General features: G+C 39.7%; 1 protein-coding gene across 3 annotated transcripts in view; it reads left to right on the forward strand.

Moving 5' to 3' along the window:
- Positions 1-15,782, forward strand: part of POLR3B (RNA polymerase III subunit B) — a 152,451-nt gene that overhangs the window by 19,881 nt on the left and 116,788 nt on the right. For all 3 annotated transcript variants that reach the window (NM_018082.6, XM_017019621.3, NM_001160708.2), the window contains exons 8-10: positions 639-756; positions 2,403-2,511; positions 15,403-15,525. In NM_018082.6, coding sequence (NP_060552.4) covers positions 639-756; positions 2,403-2,511; positions 15,403-15,525 — 350 coding nt within the window. The remainder of the gene's footprint in view (positions 1-638; positions 757-2,402; positions 2,512-15,402; positions 15,526-15,782) is intronic.

Below are 15,782 nucleotides of genomic sequence, written 5' to 3' on the forward strand. Positions count from 1 at the left end.
CACTTGTACTTAAGAGCTCTGACAACTAATTTATTTAACTATTTTTTTCATTCACTTTTTACATATGTCAGGGGCGGGTGATTCATAGACCAATAAGATACATTTCCTGTCCTCAAGAAATTTTTTATCTTGTAGCTCATTTGTATAAAATCACGTGCTGATCTTCAGTCCATAAAACAATATCAGATGGGCGCAATGGCTCTTGCCTGTAATCCCAGTGCACTGAGAGGCTGAGGCGGGAGGATGGCTTAAGACAGGGAGTCAGCCTGAGAAGCATAGTGAGACCCTGTTGTTACAAAAAATTTAAAAATTAGCTACGTGTGGTGGCACATGCCTCTAGTCCTAGCTACTCGGGAGACTGGGGCGGGCGAATCACTTGAGGTTAGCAGTCCGAGGTTGCAGTGAGCTATGATTGTGCCACTGCACTCCAGCCTCGGCGACAAAGGGAGATCCTTTCTCAAAAAATAAAATAAAATAAAATAAAAAATAAAATCAGCAACCCCTTTGAATCAAGTGTTAGCCAGTGCCATGAAGCAGTAGTAGAAAAGGTAATCTCTGATTCACAAGATTCCTGCCATTACTAAATCAACACTGGTTGAGGAATAAATGATGAAGTTTTTCTTGTTTCCTTTGGGTAGGTGGCTACTTCATTGTTAAAGGAGTAGAAAAAGTTATTCTTATCCAAGAGCAGCTGTCTAAGAACAGGATCATCGTGGAGGCTGATAGAAAAGGGGCTGTTGGAGCTTCAGTTACCAGGTATGGAAAGCAGAGATGGTGTCCTTAAGCAATATTGGTCATTCCATTAGTCCTAAATGGCTATGTTTCAATACAGAGGGAGCCAGTTATTACCCTCTAAAAGCAGGCATTGTAATATTTAAGCTATCTGCATTCAATTTATTATGAAAGTCTGGAAGCATAGGGTACTGATTTTAAAATTTCAGTGATGGGAGTCTGAGACATTGTTTGAAAAGTCACTGTTTAAGCTGAATTTTATGTTAGCTTATAGAGCATGAAAGGAGATTTAAAAAAAAAAAAATAAAACCACTCTTCAGTTTTTCACACTCCTTTTCAGCCTTTTATGCTCCTTTTCAGCCTTTTACCATTTACATGTGTATTCCTGCATCAGTATGATCAGGGACTATTTGACACTTAATATTGAATGACCTGTATCATGGACTTAACACCCTATTGTTAGTTTTCTAGACCAGCCTCTTTCACAGTGTATTCATTTTTACTACAGTCTCCCTTTCGAGGCTTCTGTAACTTCTTTTTATTTTCACGTGTAATTTGAAATATGGAGGTTAATGAGTTCTGGGAATAGAAAGATTTGTGGCATAGATAAGATGTGAGAGTGCGGTAGTTTCCTGTTTGATAACCTACAACGAACTGATTAACTCAGAATTTCTGTACTTTTCTTTCTGATGGAGAGGCAGCTAACAGTAATGGTCATTCATGGAGTACTTACTAGGAGCCAGGCAAAATACTAGGTATATTATTTGTCACCTCAGTCCTCCAAGATAAGTGGTACTATTAACATCTCCATTTTACAACTAACAGGCCTTAAGCTCAGGGGTACCTTGACTGTAAGAGGTAGATAGCCTTTGAACCCAGATACGGTTAATTTTACAATCCATGTCTTCCCACTATCTGTAACTTTGGAGCCAAGGCAATTTGAATTTGAATCCTAAAGCTTTGTTTTCTAGTTATGAGGCACTGGAATGTGCAGTTAGTTAGCTTCTCTAAGCCTTGGTTTCCTCATAAGTGATTTTGAGACAATACTTCAGTTTGACTATGTAGAAGATTAGAGCTAATGTAAGTAACATGGGTAACAATGCGTAGTAGCAGGTAATCTGTGTGTGTTACTAATGTGGTTGATTAGAGCTTTTAAAATGCTTTGAAATCCATTAGGAATTTTATAACTAACACAGATACCAACAGAAGGATATTCCTTTCTTTTGGCTTTACTATATACCAAGACTGTGGGTATATTTTGTTGAATTACTAGTTTAAAAACTCGTATATAAATTCATTTCTTTTTAATTTCCTCATTATGTTTAAGGCCCATATATAAAATTGGCCTTGTATATATGCTCTACACTGGATCAAAGTAATTCAAGGTAGAGTCAAAGTGAAGTTGGTCAGAAAGTAATTGTCACTCATTCACACACAGAACTTCCATCATAATCTCAAAGTCAAAGAAAAATTTATAGTGTTTTTAAATGTTCACTGAAGTGGCAGCAGGGCAGGAAAGGAATTGTCTTTTTAAAGTACTTATTAGAAAGGACCTTGTGATTGTTGTTGATCAGTTGACCCTTATTGATTAATGATCATTGCTATTATTGCATGTTACTAGCTTGAAACTAAGTGGGGATGCAGTTTAACCAACTTGTATTTACTCATAGCTCTACCCATGAGAAAAAAAGCAGAACCAATATGGCTGTGAAACAAGGACGATTTTATTTGAGGCATAATACTTTGTCAGAAGATATACCCATTGTCATCATATTTAAGGTAAAGCTGCAGCTCTCTTCTGAAAATTGTAAGAATTCTTTCTCTGGTTTATTTACATATGTAATTAGAGATTTGGAGGGTAAGGAATTCTTGGAATAGAAAGATTTGTGATGTAAGTTGTCAGTCATATGATGTATTTTAAATTGAAAGCTGGCTGGGCGTGGTGGGTCATGCCTGAAATCCCAACACTTTGGGAGGCCAAGATGGGCAGATCGCCTGAGCCCAGGAGTTTGAGACCAGCTTGTGCAACATGGTGAAACCCCATCTCTACCAAAAAAAAAAAAAAAAAAAAAAATAGCTGAGTGTGGTGGTGTGCATCTCTACTTCCAGCCACTCAGGAGGCTGAGGTGGGAGGATGGCTTGAGCCTGGGAGGCAAAGGTTGCAGTGAGCTGAGATTGTGCCACTCTGCTCCAGCCTGGACAACATAGTGAGAACTCATCTCTACAAATAATAAAAACATTAGCCAAGCGTGGTGGCATGTGCCTATAGTTTCAGCTATTTGGGTAGCTGAGATGGGAGGATCACACAAGCCCAGGAAGTCAAGGCTGCAGTGAGCCGTGATCATGCCACTGCACTCCAGCCTGGGCAACATAGCAAGACCCAGTCTCAAAACCAAACAAAAAATCAGCTTATTTGTGAATTGTTGGCCTAGAACCCAAAAGACATTTTCCATAGAAACAATATTGAAATGGTATAGTCTTCTCAGATACAGGCATACTTCGGAGATATTGCTGGTTTTGTTCCAGACCACCACAATAAAGCTAATATCACAGTAAAGTGAGTCACACAAATATGTTAGTTTCCCAGTGCATACAAAAGTTATATGTATACTATACTGTAGTCTGTTAAGTGTGCAATAGCGTTATGTATAAAAAATATATGCCTCAATTAAAATATACTTTATTGCTAAAAAATTCTAACAATTATCTGAGTCATAATCTTTCAGTGAGTTATAGTCTTTTTACTGGTAGAGGGTCTTACCTCAGTGTTGGTGGCTACTGACTAATCAGAGTGGTGGTTGCTGAAGGTGGCTGTGGCATTTTCTTAAAATAAGACATCAGTGAAGTTTACCACAGCTATTGACTCTTCCTTCATGAAAGATTTCTCTGTAGCACACAATGTTGTTTGATAGCATTTTACCCACAGTAGAACTTCTTTCAAAAATTGGAGTCAGTGATAGCATTTTACCCACAGTAGAACTTCTTTCAAAAATTGGAGTCAGTTGTCTTAAACCCAGTTGCTGCTTTATCAATGAAGTTTACATAATATTCTACATCCTTTTTTGTTATTTCAACAATGTATACAGCCTCTTCACCAGGATTAGATTCCATTTCAAGAAATCACTTTTTCTGCTCATCCTTAGGAAGCAACCCCTCACCCATTCAAGTTATATCATGAGATTACACCAATTCAGTCACATCTTCAGGCTCCACTTCTACTTCTAGTTCTCTTGCTATTCCCACCACATCTGCAGCTACTTTCTTCATTAAAGTCTTAAACCCCTCAAAATCATCCTTGAGGATGGGAATCAGCTTCTTGCAAACTCTTGTTGATGTTGGTATTTTGACCTCTTCTCATGAATCACAGATATACAAACATTCTTTTTTTTAAAGTGAAAGCAAGTTTATAAGAAAGTAAAGAAACAAAAGAATGGCTACTCCATAGGCACAGCAGCCCCAAGGGCTGGTGGTTGCCCATTTTAATGGTTATTTCTTGATTATATGCTAAAGAAGGGGTGGATTATTCATGAGTTTTCTGGGAAAGGGGTGGGGAGTTCCCTCCTCCTTTTAGACCATATAGGGTAACTTCCTGACGTTGCCATGGCACTTGTAAACTGTCACTGCGCTAGTAGGAGTGTGAGGATGACCAGAGGTCACTCTCATCACCATCTTGGTTTTGGTGGGTTTTGGCTGGCTTCCTTACTGCAGTCTGTTTTATCAGCAAGGTCTTTATGACCTGTATCTTGTGCCAACCTCCTATCTCGTCCTGTGACTAAGAATGCCTTAACCTCCTTGGAATGCAGCCCAGTAGGTCTCAGCCTTATTTTACCCAGCCCCTCTTCAAGAGGGAGTCACTGTGGGTCGAACACCTCTGACATATTTTCCCCCTTCCCTTTTATAAGACAACCCTAGTCCTAAGGTTTATAGAAGGATGAAGCTCCATCTTCCATAACTTCTTCAGGCTGAATAGGAATGATGATATTCCTGCCTAACTATTAGGGTCTCTTGTATTCAAGGGAATCACAGATATTCTTATTGGCATCTAGAAAAGAGTGAATCCTTTGTAGAAGGTTTCCAGTTTATTTTGTCCAGATCCATCAAAGGAATCACTATCATGGCAGCTATAGCCATAAGACTTGAAAGTTGAAATTACTTCTTTATTCATGGGCTGCAGAATGGATGTTGTGTTAGCAAGCACAAAAACATTAATCTCCTTGTACATCTCCATCAGAACTCTTGGTGACTCAGTTCATTATCAATGAGTAGTAATGTTTTTAAAGGATCTTTTTTCTTAGCAGTAGTTCTCAACAGTAGACATAAAATATTCAGTAAACTATACTGTCAACTGATGTGCTGCCATCCAGACTTTGTTGTTTCATTGGTAGGGCACATGCAGAGTAGATATAGCATAATTCTTAAGGGCCTTACGATTTTCGGAATGTTAAATGAGCACTGACTTGAACTTTTTCTAGACCCTCACAAGAAAATCAGCCTGTCCTTTGAAGCTTTGAAGCCAGGCATTGACTTCTCCAGCTGTCAAAGTCCTAGATGGCATGTTCTTTCAATAGAAGGCTGTTGCATCTACATTGAAAATCGGTTGTTTAGTATAGACACCTTCATCAGTGATCTTAGCCAGATCTTCTGAAAAACTTGCTGCAGCTTCTCCATCAGCACTTGTTGCTTCACCTTGCACTTTTATGTTATGGAGATGGCTTCTTTCCATAAATCTCATGAACCAACCTCTGCTAGTTTCCAACTTTTCTTCTGCCTCTTCCTCACCTCTCTCAGCCTTCGTAGAATTGAAGAGAGTTAGGCCCTTACTCTGGATTATGCTTTGACTTAAGGGAATGTTGTTGTGGCTGGTTTGCTCTTCTATCCAGACCACTAAAACCATCTCCATATCAGCAATAAGCCTGTTTCACTTTCTTATCATGTATATGTTCACTGGAATAGCACTTGTGATTTCCTTCAAGAACTTTTCCTTTGTGTGCACAACTTGGTGCAGGAGGCCTAGCTTTTGGCCTGTCTCAGCTTTTGACACGCCTTCCTTTCTAAGCTTAATCATTTCTAGCTTTTGATTTACGGTGACAGACATGCAACCCTTTTTTTTACTTGCACACTTAAGAAGCCATTCTTGGGTTATTAATTGACCTAATTTCACTATTGTTGTGTCTCAAGGAATAAGGAGGCTCAAGGAGAAGGGAGACAGATGGGGGAATAGCTAGTTGGTGGAGCTGTCACAACACACACATTTATAGATTAAATTTTTCATCTCTTACGAGCACGGTTTGTGGCACCCCAAAACAGTTAAAATAGTAACGTCAAAGAACACTGATTGGCCGGGCGCAATAGCTCACGCCTATAATCCCAGCACTTTGGGAGGCTGAGGCAGGGATCATTTGAGGTCAGGAGTTCGAGACCAGCCTGACCAACATGGTGAAATCCCATCTGTACTAAAAATACAAAAATTAGCCGGGTGTGGTGGCGCACATCTGTAATCTCAGCTACTTGGGAGGCTGAGGCAGAAGAATCGCTTGAACCCGGGAGGTGGAGGTTGCGGTGAGCCGAGATTGCACCACTGCACTCCAGCCTAGGCAACAGAGTGAGACTCCATCTCAAAAAAAAAAAAGAGAGAGAAAAAAAAAAAGATCATTGATCACAGGTCCCCATAACAGTGAAAAAGTTTGAAATATTGCAAGAATTACCAAAGTGTGACACAGAGACATGAAGTAAGCACATGCTCTTGGAAAAATGACACCAATAGATTTGCCTGAAGCAGGGTCAATCTGGAAGCAGGGACAAACCTTAAATTTGGAAAAAACACAATATCTACAAAGCCCAATAAAGCAAAGCATGATAAAAATGATATGTACCTGTAGTTACATAGCAGCCCATTTAACCTGTTCTAAGATGTAAATACTATACACATTCAGTGAACAGTTAAATTGTCGTATTAGTTATCAAGCAAAATAAAAAAATAGTTGGCATTATGTGATACAGTTAGTTGATCCTCAGTATTTGCAAATTCCTTATTTGTGAATTCACTTACTTGCTAAAATTTATACATAACCCCAAAATCAATACTTGTGGTGCTTTTGTGGTTATTCACAGATATGCACTGACACAGAGTGGTAAAAACTTAGAATCACCCAGCGCACATATTCCCAGCTGAGATTGAACAAGGCAACACTCTGCCTTCTTGTTTCAGCCCTCATGCTGTAATCGAGTGTCTGTTTTGCAGTCTATTTAGTGCCGTATTTTTTGTATTTTTGTGCTTTGTTGATTGCAGTATAAGATGGCCCCCTAGTATAATGCTAAAGTGCTGTCGAGGTGTTCCAAAGGGCAAACAGGCTGTGATGTGCCTTCTGGAGAAAATATGTGTTAGATAAGCTTGATAAGCTTTGTTCAGGCATGAGTTATAGTGCTGTTGGCTAACTTCAAAGTTAACTAATCGATATATATTAAATGTCTTTTTTTTTTTTTTTGAGATGGCGTTTCGCTCTTTCACCCAGGCTGGAGTGGAATGGCGTGATCTCAGCTTAATGCAACTTCCCGTCCAGTTTCAAGCTATTCTCCTGCCTCAGCCTCCCAAGTAGCTGCGATTTCAGGCGCCCTCCACCACGCCCAGCTAATTTTTGTATTTTTGGTAGAGATGGGGTTTCACCATGTTGGCTAGGCTGGTCTCGAACTCTTGACCGTGTGATCCTCCCGCCTTGGCCTCCCAAAGTGCTGGGATTAGGTGTAAGCCACAGCGCCTGGCCTTAAATATCTTTTAAAAGAAACACACAGAAAATAACGTTCTGTATTGATTAGTTGAGGAAAATGTTGTGACCATAGGCTCACAGGAACCTAGCCCTATATTTTTCCTGGAGCAATGGTTCAGTATTCACTATTCAGTATTTGGTATAATTCAGCAACTTTATAGAACATAACTACCTTGGATAATGATAACCGATTGTATATAGGTATAAAATGAATCTTGATAACCAGTTTAGTTGAAATGAAGAGCTCAGATTATTTGAGGAGATACTGGATGCTTCAGATAATTTTAGAAATTTATAGTATTTATTCAGTTTCAATAGTTATGATAGTGGAAATAATTTTTGAGTCAAAATTAGAAAAAAAACAAAGGAAGAGATCCTCTGAGGCTGAACTAAGTTCGTTGAAACGGAAAAGCATTTTGGGTATAAGCCTCAGAGGAGTAAGAAAGAAGGGAATGAGTCTTTACTGTTAAAGTTGTAATCAGGTGACAGAGTATAGGAGTCAGGGAGGAAAGTAGCCCTCAAATCAGTCTGGTGATTGGGATTTAGGGAGAGAGTATTGGTAAGAGTATTCATAAGTATTGAATGGACATTGACAAGTCAGGTTCTTTAACTCAGGAAGCATCCATGTTCTAAATGCAATTGTGTGAAGAAACTTTTAGGAAATTTTAAACTGTTTATTGTAGCCTAATGTGCTTTTGAGTTCTATAAATGAGATGGAGCCATTTTCTTTTCAGGATGATGATGATGATAGTCTTAGTAGCAGTACCATGATATCAGAGGGCCCAGGAAGAATTCTTAAATATACTTTTTCTTTTCTTTCTTTACGGTTTGCATTTTTTAAGCACAAAAGTAATTTTGACTTTTCTTGTAGGGATCCCACAGTGCCCAATGCAGTGTTTTATGTACATACTGATGAATAAAGAAAATTTTATCTAACGGGGCTGGGCGCGGTGGCTCATGCCTATAATCCCATCGCTTTGGGAGGCCAAGGTGGGTGGATCACTTGAGGTCAGGAGTTTGAGACCAGCCTGGCTAACATGGTGAGAAGCCATCTCTGCTAAAAATACAAAAACTAGCCGGGCATGGTGGCTCACGCCTGCCCCAGCTACTTGGGAGGCTCAGGCAGGAGAACTGCTTGAACCCAGGAGGCAGAGGTTGCAGTGAGGCGAAATCGCACCACTGCACTCCAGCCTGGGTGACAGAGGGAGACTCCGTCTCAAAAAAAAAAAAAAAGAAAACTTTATCTAATGGTGTAGAATTACATCTCCAGCAGAGGGCAGTATGTTCCCATGCATCCAAAGGACTTTTTTTTTTAGAAAGTTTTATAGACACTTGAAGATGCATAGTACTCTTTCTTTCTACCAGAAATTATAAATTAATTATAATGCATATAATCTTCTATCACTCATGGAAAATGCATGACTAGACTCATGCATACATTAAAATCAGAAAACATTAAGTACTGTTTTTTGGCCCGGTGATGAGTTTAATAAGACAGTTTTGCTGGGCGTGGTGGCTCACACCTGTAATCCCAGCACTTTGGGAGGCCGAGGTGGGCGGATCACGAGGTCAGGAGATGGAGACCACCCTGGCTAACACGGTGAAACCCCGTCTTTACTAAAAATACAAAAAATTAGCTGGGCATGGTGGCAGGTGCCTGTAGTCCCAGCTACTCAGGAGGCTGAGGCAGGAGAATGGCGTGAACCTGGAAGCCGGAGCATGCAGTGAGCCAAGATCACACCACTGCACTGCAGCCTGGGCAACAGAGCAAGACTCTGTCTCAAAAAAAAAAAGAAAAAAGTTTCTTCTGTCAAGTTTGTTTAATGTTTATATTGTACATCTATACACGCATATGCTTACATACACACAGCTGACTTAAATCCTTTTTAGAATAGGGCTGTAAATTAACAATATGCATATTTATGTAACCAGTAGTTGTGGTTTCAGACTTCTCCCTTTCTGATTATAAAAACATTCCTTGCATTATTTAAATTTAGAAAGCCACTTAAAAGTATATCTACATTTTTGGATATATTTTTCCAGACAGTTTTCCTGTGCTTTTGTGATATACACATACATTTTTATTTTTTTCACTTAACAGTGCATTATGAATAGCTTTCCCTGTTATGAATCTGCATCATTATTTTTAGTGACTGTTGTGTAGAAGTTGCATACTTGTGGTGGAATTTACTTAACCACTTTCCTCTAGTGGGGCATTTAGGCGTCATTTTTTTCCCCAAGGCTTTACTCTTAAACACAACCCTAGGATGACTGTTATACATACCTGTTTGTGCACATTGCTGATTGTTTTGTAAGACTTTATTCCTGAGAGTGGAATTTCTTTTTTTTTAAACTTGGTGCATGTTGCCAATTATTTTCCTGAAACGTATCCACTACATTCTAATCAGTAAATATTTTAAAATTTTTAGTTTGGATAAATGAGCTAAATATTTTGGTCATAAATGGTCACTTTTATTGGTCTCCCACAATAGGTATGTTTTAATAAATTGATGGGAATTTGTTTGATAACCACTATTTAGACTTTTCCATCTGGGAGGCAGCATAGAGTATTGGATATCTTAGAATCAGACAGATTTAGGTTGAATCCCAGCATCTGCACTTATTAGTTATGTGACCTTGGGCATATTTTCCAGTCTCTTTAAGTCTTGAATAACTCATCTATTAAGGTGAGAATTTTAAGAGAGTTGCTGTGAAGAGCAAACAGGATCATGTATTTTTTGAAAAGTCCTGGAAGGGGAGTGCCCTTTTTCTTTCCTTAGTTGTCTTTATGGTCAGAAACCCGGGAAAACAAATGGGGATACCAGAAAAGACACATCATTTCTCTTTGAGTGTTGTGTGGCCCTAACACAGACCTTGACAGTCATTAGGACTTGATGGTTGTTGATTATAACCAACAATTGGCTGAAAGTGACAGGAACAGCAGGGTTTCCAGATTCCATGCTGAGTCTGAATATGATGGAGAAAGCTTTTAAGACATAGATCAGCCTTATTTATGGACTTGGATCACTACAAAGGTTCTCCTGCCCATGAATCTTCCCCACTTTACATTTTGTATTCCCAAGTATGCTGCCTGCACTTATGATGGCATCTGTAGTTTGAAAGTTTTTGTGGAAAAGAGAATCAAATTTCAAGGGTGCTGGGCAGTGTTTCCTGGAAACTAACTTATATGGAAATTTATCTTTTTTTTTTTTGAGATGGAGTCTTGCTCTGTCACCAGGCTAGAGTGCAGTGGCGCGATCTCAGCCCACTGCAACCTCCAACTCCCTGGTTCAAGCGATTCTTCTGCCTCAGCCTCCCAAGTAGCTGGGATTACAGGCATGCACCACCACGCCCAGCTAATTTTTGTATCTTTAGTAGAGACGGGGTTTCTCCATGTTGGCCAGGATGGTCTTGATCTCCTGACCTGGTGATCTGCCCACCTTAGCCTCCCAAAGTGCTGGGATTACAGGCGTGAGCCAATGTGCCTGGCTGAAATTTATCTTCTTTAAAGAGAAACAGTTACAAAGTTAGAGAGGGCTATCACAGTTCTCTTATTACCTGCTGGGACTACTGTGAGTAATAATAGATTGATTTTGGTCTACTTTAAAGAAACATTAGAGATTTCTGAATATTAGATATTTTAAGAAGTTATTTCCTTTCCTGCCTTCACACAATATATTTCAACCTGTCACCATTAGTGTGTGTATCAGTCTCTTTTGCTCATTAGTATTCTTTTTGTCTTTAAAAGTCACGCTTTGTAGATATCTAAAAAGACCTCATGCCACTTTTTATAGTGCATCTCCCCTTATTTTTGTTCAATGGTATTGCTGATTGCTAGAGTGTAGGGGACCTGCTGAAATGTATTATCTCTGCTATTTTTTCATAAGTTTATTATGTAGGATTTACTTTTGACTTATTAGAAAAAATGATTTCAGATATCTGGAGTACAAAGAGGTCCATATAAAGCCAGTTTTCAGATGTCTAAATTATGTCTTTAAAGTAAAATAGTTGAGCATTTTGCTGTCGTTTCCATAGCAATATGTCATTTATTTGTAGCTGTGACTACTGAAGGCTAAATAGTCATAAAGTCAGTTCGGTCTTTGCAGCTGGTGTGCTTTGATGATAACTTGACTGAGTTATCGCCCCTGTATTTAGTGACTTGATATAGGAAGAGTTTAGTCCTTTTAGAGCAAAGCTTTGGCAGTAATCATGCTTTTTGCACATATGGTGTCATTTACCATGTGCTTGGCATATCTTTGCTTCATAGCTTAGAAATATTTGGAAGGCCTAAGCAGTCTGTTTAGATCCCTGTTAGGACATTTGAGAATTTTATGCAGTTATGAAATCACCACTTAGATTCAGCATCAAGACAACTTGAAGTGGCAATCCATACGTCAAATGAGGAAAGACTTTTTCGTTACAGGTTGAGCATCCCTTATCTGAAATGCTTGGGACCAGCAGTGTTTAGGATTTCAGGTTTTTTTTTTTTAATTTTGGAATATTGGCATTGTCCTTATCCTTATGGTTGAGCATCTCAAATCCAGAAATCCAAAATCTGAAATGCTCTAATGAGTATTTCCTCTGAGTGTCATGTCTGTACTCAGAAGGTTTCAGATTCTGAAAGCTGGTCATGGTCGCCTGTGCCTATAGTGCCAGCTACTTTAGAGGGTAAGGTAGGAAGATTGCTTGAGCCCAAGAATTTGAGGCTATAGTATGCACTGCAGTTGCAACTGTGAATGGCCTCTGCACCCCGGTCTGGGCAACATAGTGAGACCCTGTCTCTTAAAAAAGTTGGCTGGGCGCGGTGGCTTTGGCCAGGCGTGGTGACTTACACCTGTAATCCCAGCACTTTGGGAGACTGAGGTGGGTGGATCACTTGCAGCCAGGAATTTGAGACCAGCCTGGCCAACATGGCAAAACCCCATCTGTACTAAATACAAAATATTAGCTGGGCATGGTGGCAGATGCCTGTAGTCCCAGCTACTTGGGAGGCCGAGGCAAGAGAATCACTTGAATCCGGGAGGCAGAGGTTGCACTGAGTTGAGATTGCACCACTGTACTCCAGCCTGGGCAACAGAGTAAGACTCTGTCTCTGAAAAAAAAAAAAAAGCAAAACAAAAAAACAAGCAGAAAAACTCTCTCCCCCCCCAGTTTTTTTTTAAGTTTCATATTTTGGAGCATTTTGGATTTTCAGATTAGGGAAAATTAACCTGTATTATTTAAACACCAAAGAAAGGAATTCTGTTCTAATATTTGTGACTGGCTACTTGCAGACCAAAGAGAAAGTGTAGATGATTTTACATATGTGCCATCACCATCAAAGTAAATGCAACTCAGTGTGCTTGAGCTAAGAATAATCTAGTTTTGTTTGTTTAAAAATTAGAACTGGTAATTTTTTTTAGGATTGCTATCTTTTAATCCATGAAAGGCTTAGTGTTTTAATGAAATCGTGTAATTTTTAAATAGTGGAGCTTATTTCTAGTATCCATTTGATAAATGTTTCCATATCAAATTGGAGGTTAAAAAAAAAGACTGCTAAAACTATAGAAAAAGGTCTTGCATCCTGAGAACTTGTTTGCAAAAAAAAAAAAAAGAACAAAATAAATTGTTTTAAATTCAGATAGTGAATTTAATTCCAAAAGTTGGTATATTAGTTATCTGTGCTGTGTAACAGATTATAGCATAGCTTCTATTCATTGGGAATTTAAGACTTGCTTAGCTGGGTGGTTCTGGCTCAGAGTCTTTCATGTGCCAGGATGTCAGCCACAAGCTGAGCATAGTAGCATGTGCCTGTAGTCCCAGTTACTCAGGAGGCTGAGGTGGGAGGTTCACTTAAGCCCAGGAGCCTGAGGCTGTAGAGCACTATGATTGCACCTGTGAATACCCACTGCCTTCAGCCAGGGCAACATAAGCAAGACCGCTTCACCAAAGAGAACAAAAGAAAAGATAATCAGCCAGGGCTGCAGTTATCTGAAGGCTGAACTGAAGCAGCCTGGAGAATCTACTTCCAGGATAACTCACCCCCATGGCAGTTGACAGAAAACTGCAGGTGCTCATTGGCTGTTGGTAAGAGGACATAGTTTCTCACCACCGGACCTTGCCACAGACTGCTTGTGTGTTTCCATGACATGGTAGCTATCTTCCCCCAGAGAGAGCACTTTCAGACAGAGCAAGCAGGCAGCTATAGTGCCTTTTATGACCAGTCCTTCAAAGTCATCATACGTGCCACCTTCACATTTTTTTCTATAGAGGTGAGGCATTGAGCTTAGCCTGCACTTGGGGTGGGGAATTAGTCTCCACCTTTTGAAGGGAGTATCAAAGAATCTATGAAGGTTTTTAAAACCACCAATGTTGGCCTAAAAGGGACATGGGATCTATTCAGATTTCCCCCAAATCTTCAAAACTTTCTATAAGTTTACATCGGATCCTAAAGTATCCAAATCAAATTTTTAGAATGCAGACCACTGAAGGTCAAATGTAGAATCATAGCATTTTGAGCTGGAAGGGATCTGGTTTTTCATTTATGCAAATGAGAAAACAAAGGCGAAGAGGTTGCATGACAGTAGTAGTTGTAATGTCTGTGTGTGTTGTTGGTATTATATTAGCACAAACACCTCAGATCTCTGGACTTTTAGATAGATGCCCCTGTTGTACTGAGGATAATGTCCTTGATTTTCTGCATTGGAACTTGGGATTTGATTTTCCCTTCCTTTCTTTTTTGTGTGGAGAACTGGGAACTAGGGCATCAACACTAACTACACAATTATCCTCTGGTTCTGTCTTCTCTACAGCTGAAGGAAGAATTTTAATGCAAACATAACTTTTCCCCTCACTTCTAAGAAGCTGACTATTACTCTTCCAGGAGAGATTTAGTGAGATTATGCTGTGTTCCTTGATATGGCAAAATTCCAGGCAAATGTGTGAAGGAGTGAGCCCTAGTACCATATGGAATCTACAAAGACTTGCGTTGCTGCTGCCACCTTGAAACACTTAAGTGGGTTTCTGAAACCTCTTAAGTGTATTCCTACTTTTTTTATTTTCTTATTTTTTTTCCCGAGACGGAGTTTTGCTCTCGTTGCCCAGGCTGGAGTGCAATGGCACAATTTCAGCTCACTGCAACCTCCACCGCCCGGGTTCAAGCGATTCTCCTGCCTCAGCCTCCCGAGTAGCTGGGATTACAGGCACATGCCAACACATCTGGCTAATTTTTGTATTTTTAGTAGAGATGAGGTTTCGCCACGTTGGCCCAGCTGGTCTTGAACTCCCAACCTCAGGTGATCCACCTGCCTCGGCCTCCCAAAGTGCTAGGATTACAGGTGTGAACCACCATGCCTGGCCCATGTGTTCCTACTTTTTAAGTCTCCTTTGAAACCTGCATGAAGTTTGGTTTGATATCTTTAGAATAGTGAGGTAAAACGTGTTTTAGGAAAAATTCTTTTCCTTTTTAGGAAAAATATGAGTGATTTGACAGTTCTCAGAAAAATTAATTTTGTGACAAGACTGATTGGGGTTCTGCTTATTTTCAGCAATGCATCTTTTCTGATTCACTGCCTTTTGGCTGTTTGTCTTTACAGTTTGCCTTTGTAGTCATGACCAGTTGTCTTTACCATACCTCCCAGCCTCCTTTTTTCGTGATGAAACTCTTAGAATATTTAAAAATTTTAGCAGATAGTACACATGCAAAAAATGTTTGAGAATGTTTGTTTTCCACTTTCTAATCAAAATATCTGTTTCAGGTTTTTCTGCAGCTTGGGCAAGGCTGCCAATGCCAGATGGCACCATTTCTGAGAGAAGAGCTAGCTTTTGCTTAGAAGTAATACCCACAAACAATGCCAAATTAGCATAAGCAAATGTCAGTGAGTTAACACAAAGCCAACACTCTTTCTATCTTTTCTTTCCTTCCTAGGCCATGGGTGTTGAGAGTGACCAGGAAATTGTGCAGATGATTGGAACAGAGGAGCACGTGATGGCTGCATTTGGGCCCAGTCTGGAAGAGTGCCAGAAAGCTCAGATTTTCACACAGATGCAGGTGTGTCTTTTCATGTTGTCCTTTGCTATGAAATGGAATTGGAGACTTAATGCTGCTCATTGATAAAGCTCATCGGATGTGATGGCTTTGGGCTCATAGATTTGGGAAAGGTATTGGGGAGATATGGGAGGAGTGAAGTTTCTTTAACTCACTTTCGTCAGGTTTGGAGGAAGGAGTTTGCCCAGACAAATTAGGAGCCTATGGTGCCCGACTTAGAATAGGGGATATATGGCGAAGAGGTGTTTGTTTTGATATAA

This window comes from Homo sapiens, chromosome 12 (genome assembly GCF_000001405.40).
Source record: "Homo sapiens chromosome 12, GRCh38.p14 Primary Assembly".
In the NCBI taxonomy this organism is placed as follows: domain Eukaryota; kingdom Metazoa; phylum Chordata; class Mammalia; order Primates; family Hominidae; genus Homo; species Homo sapiens.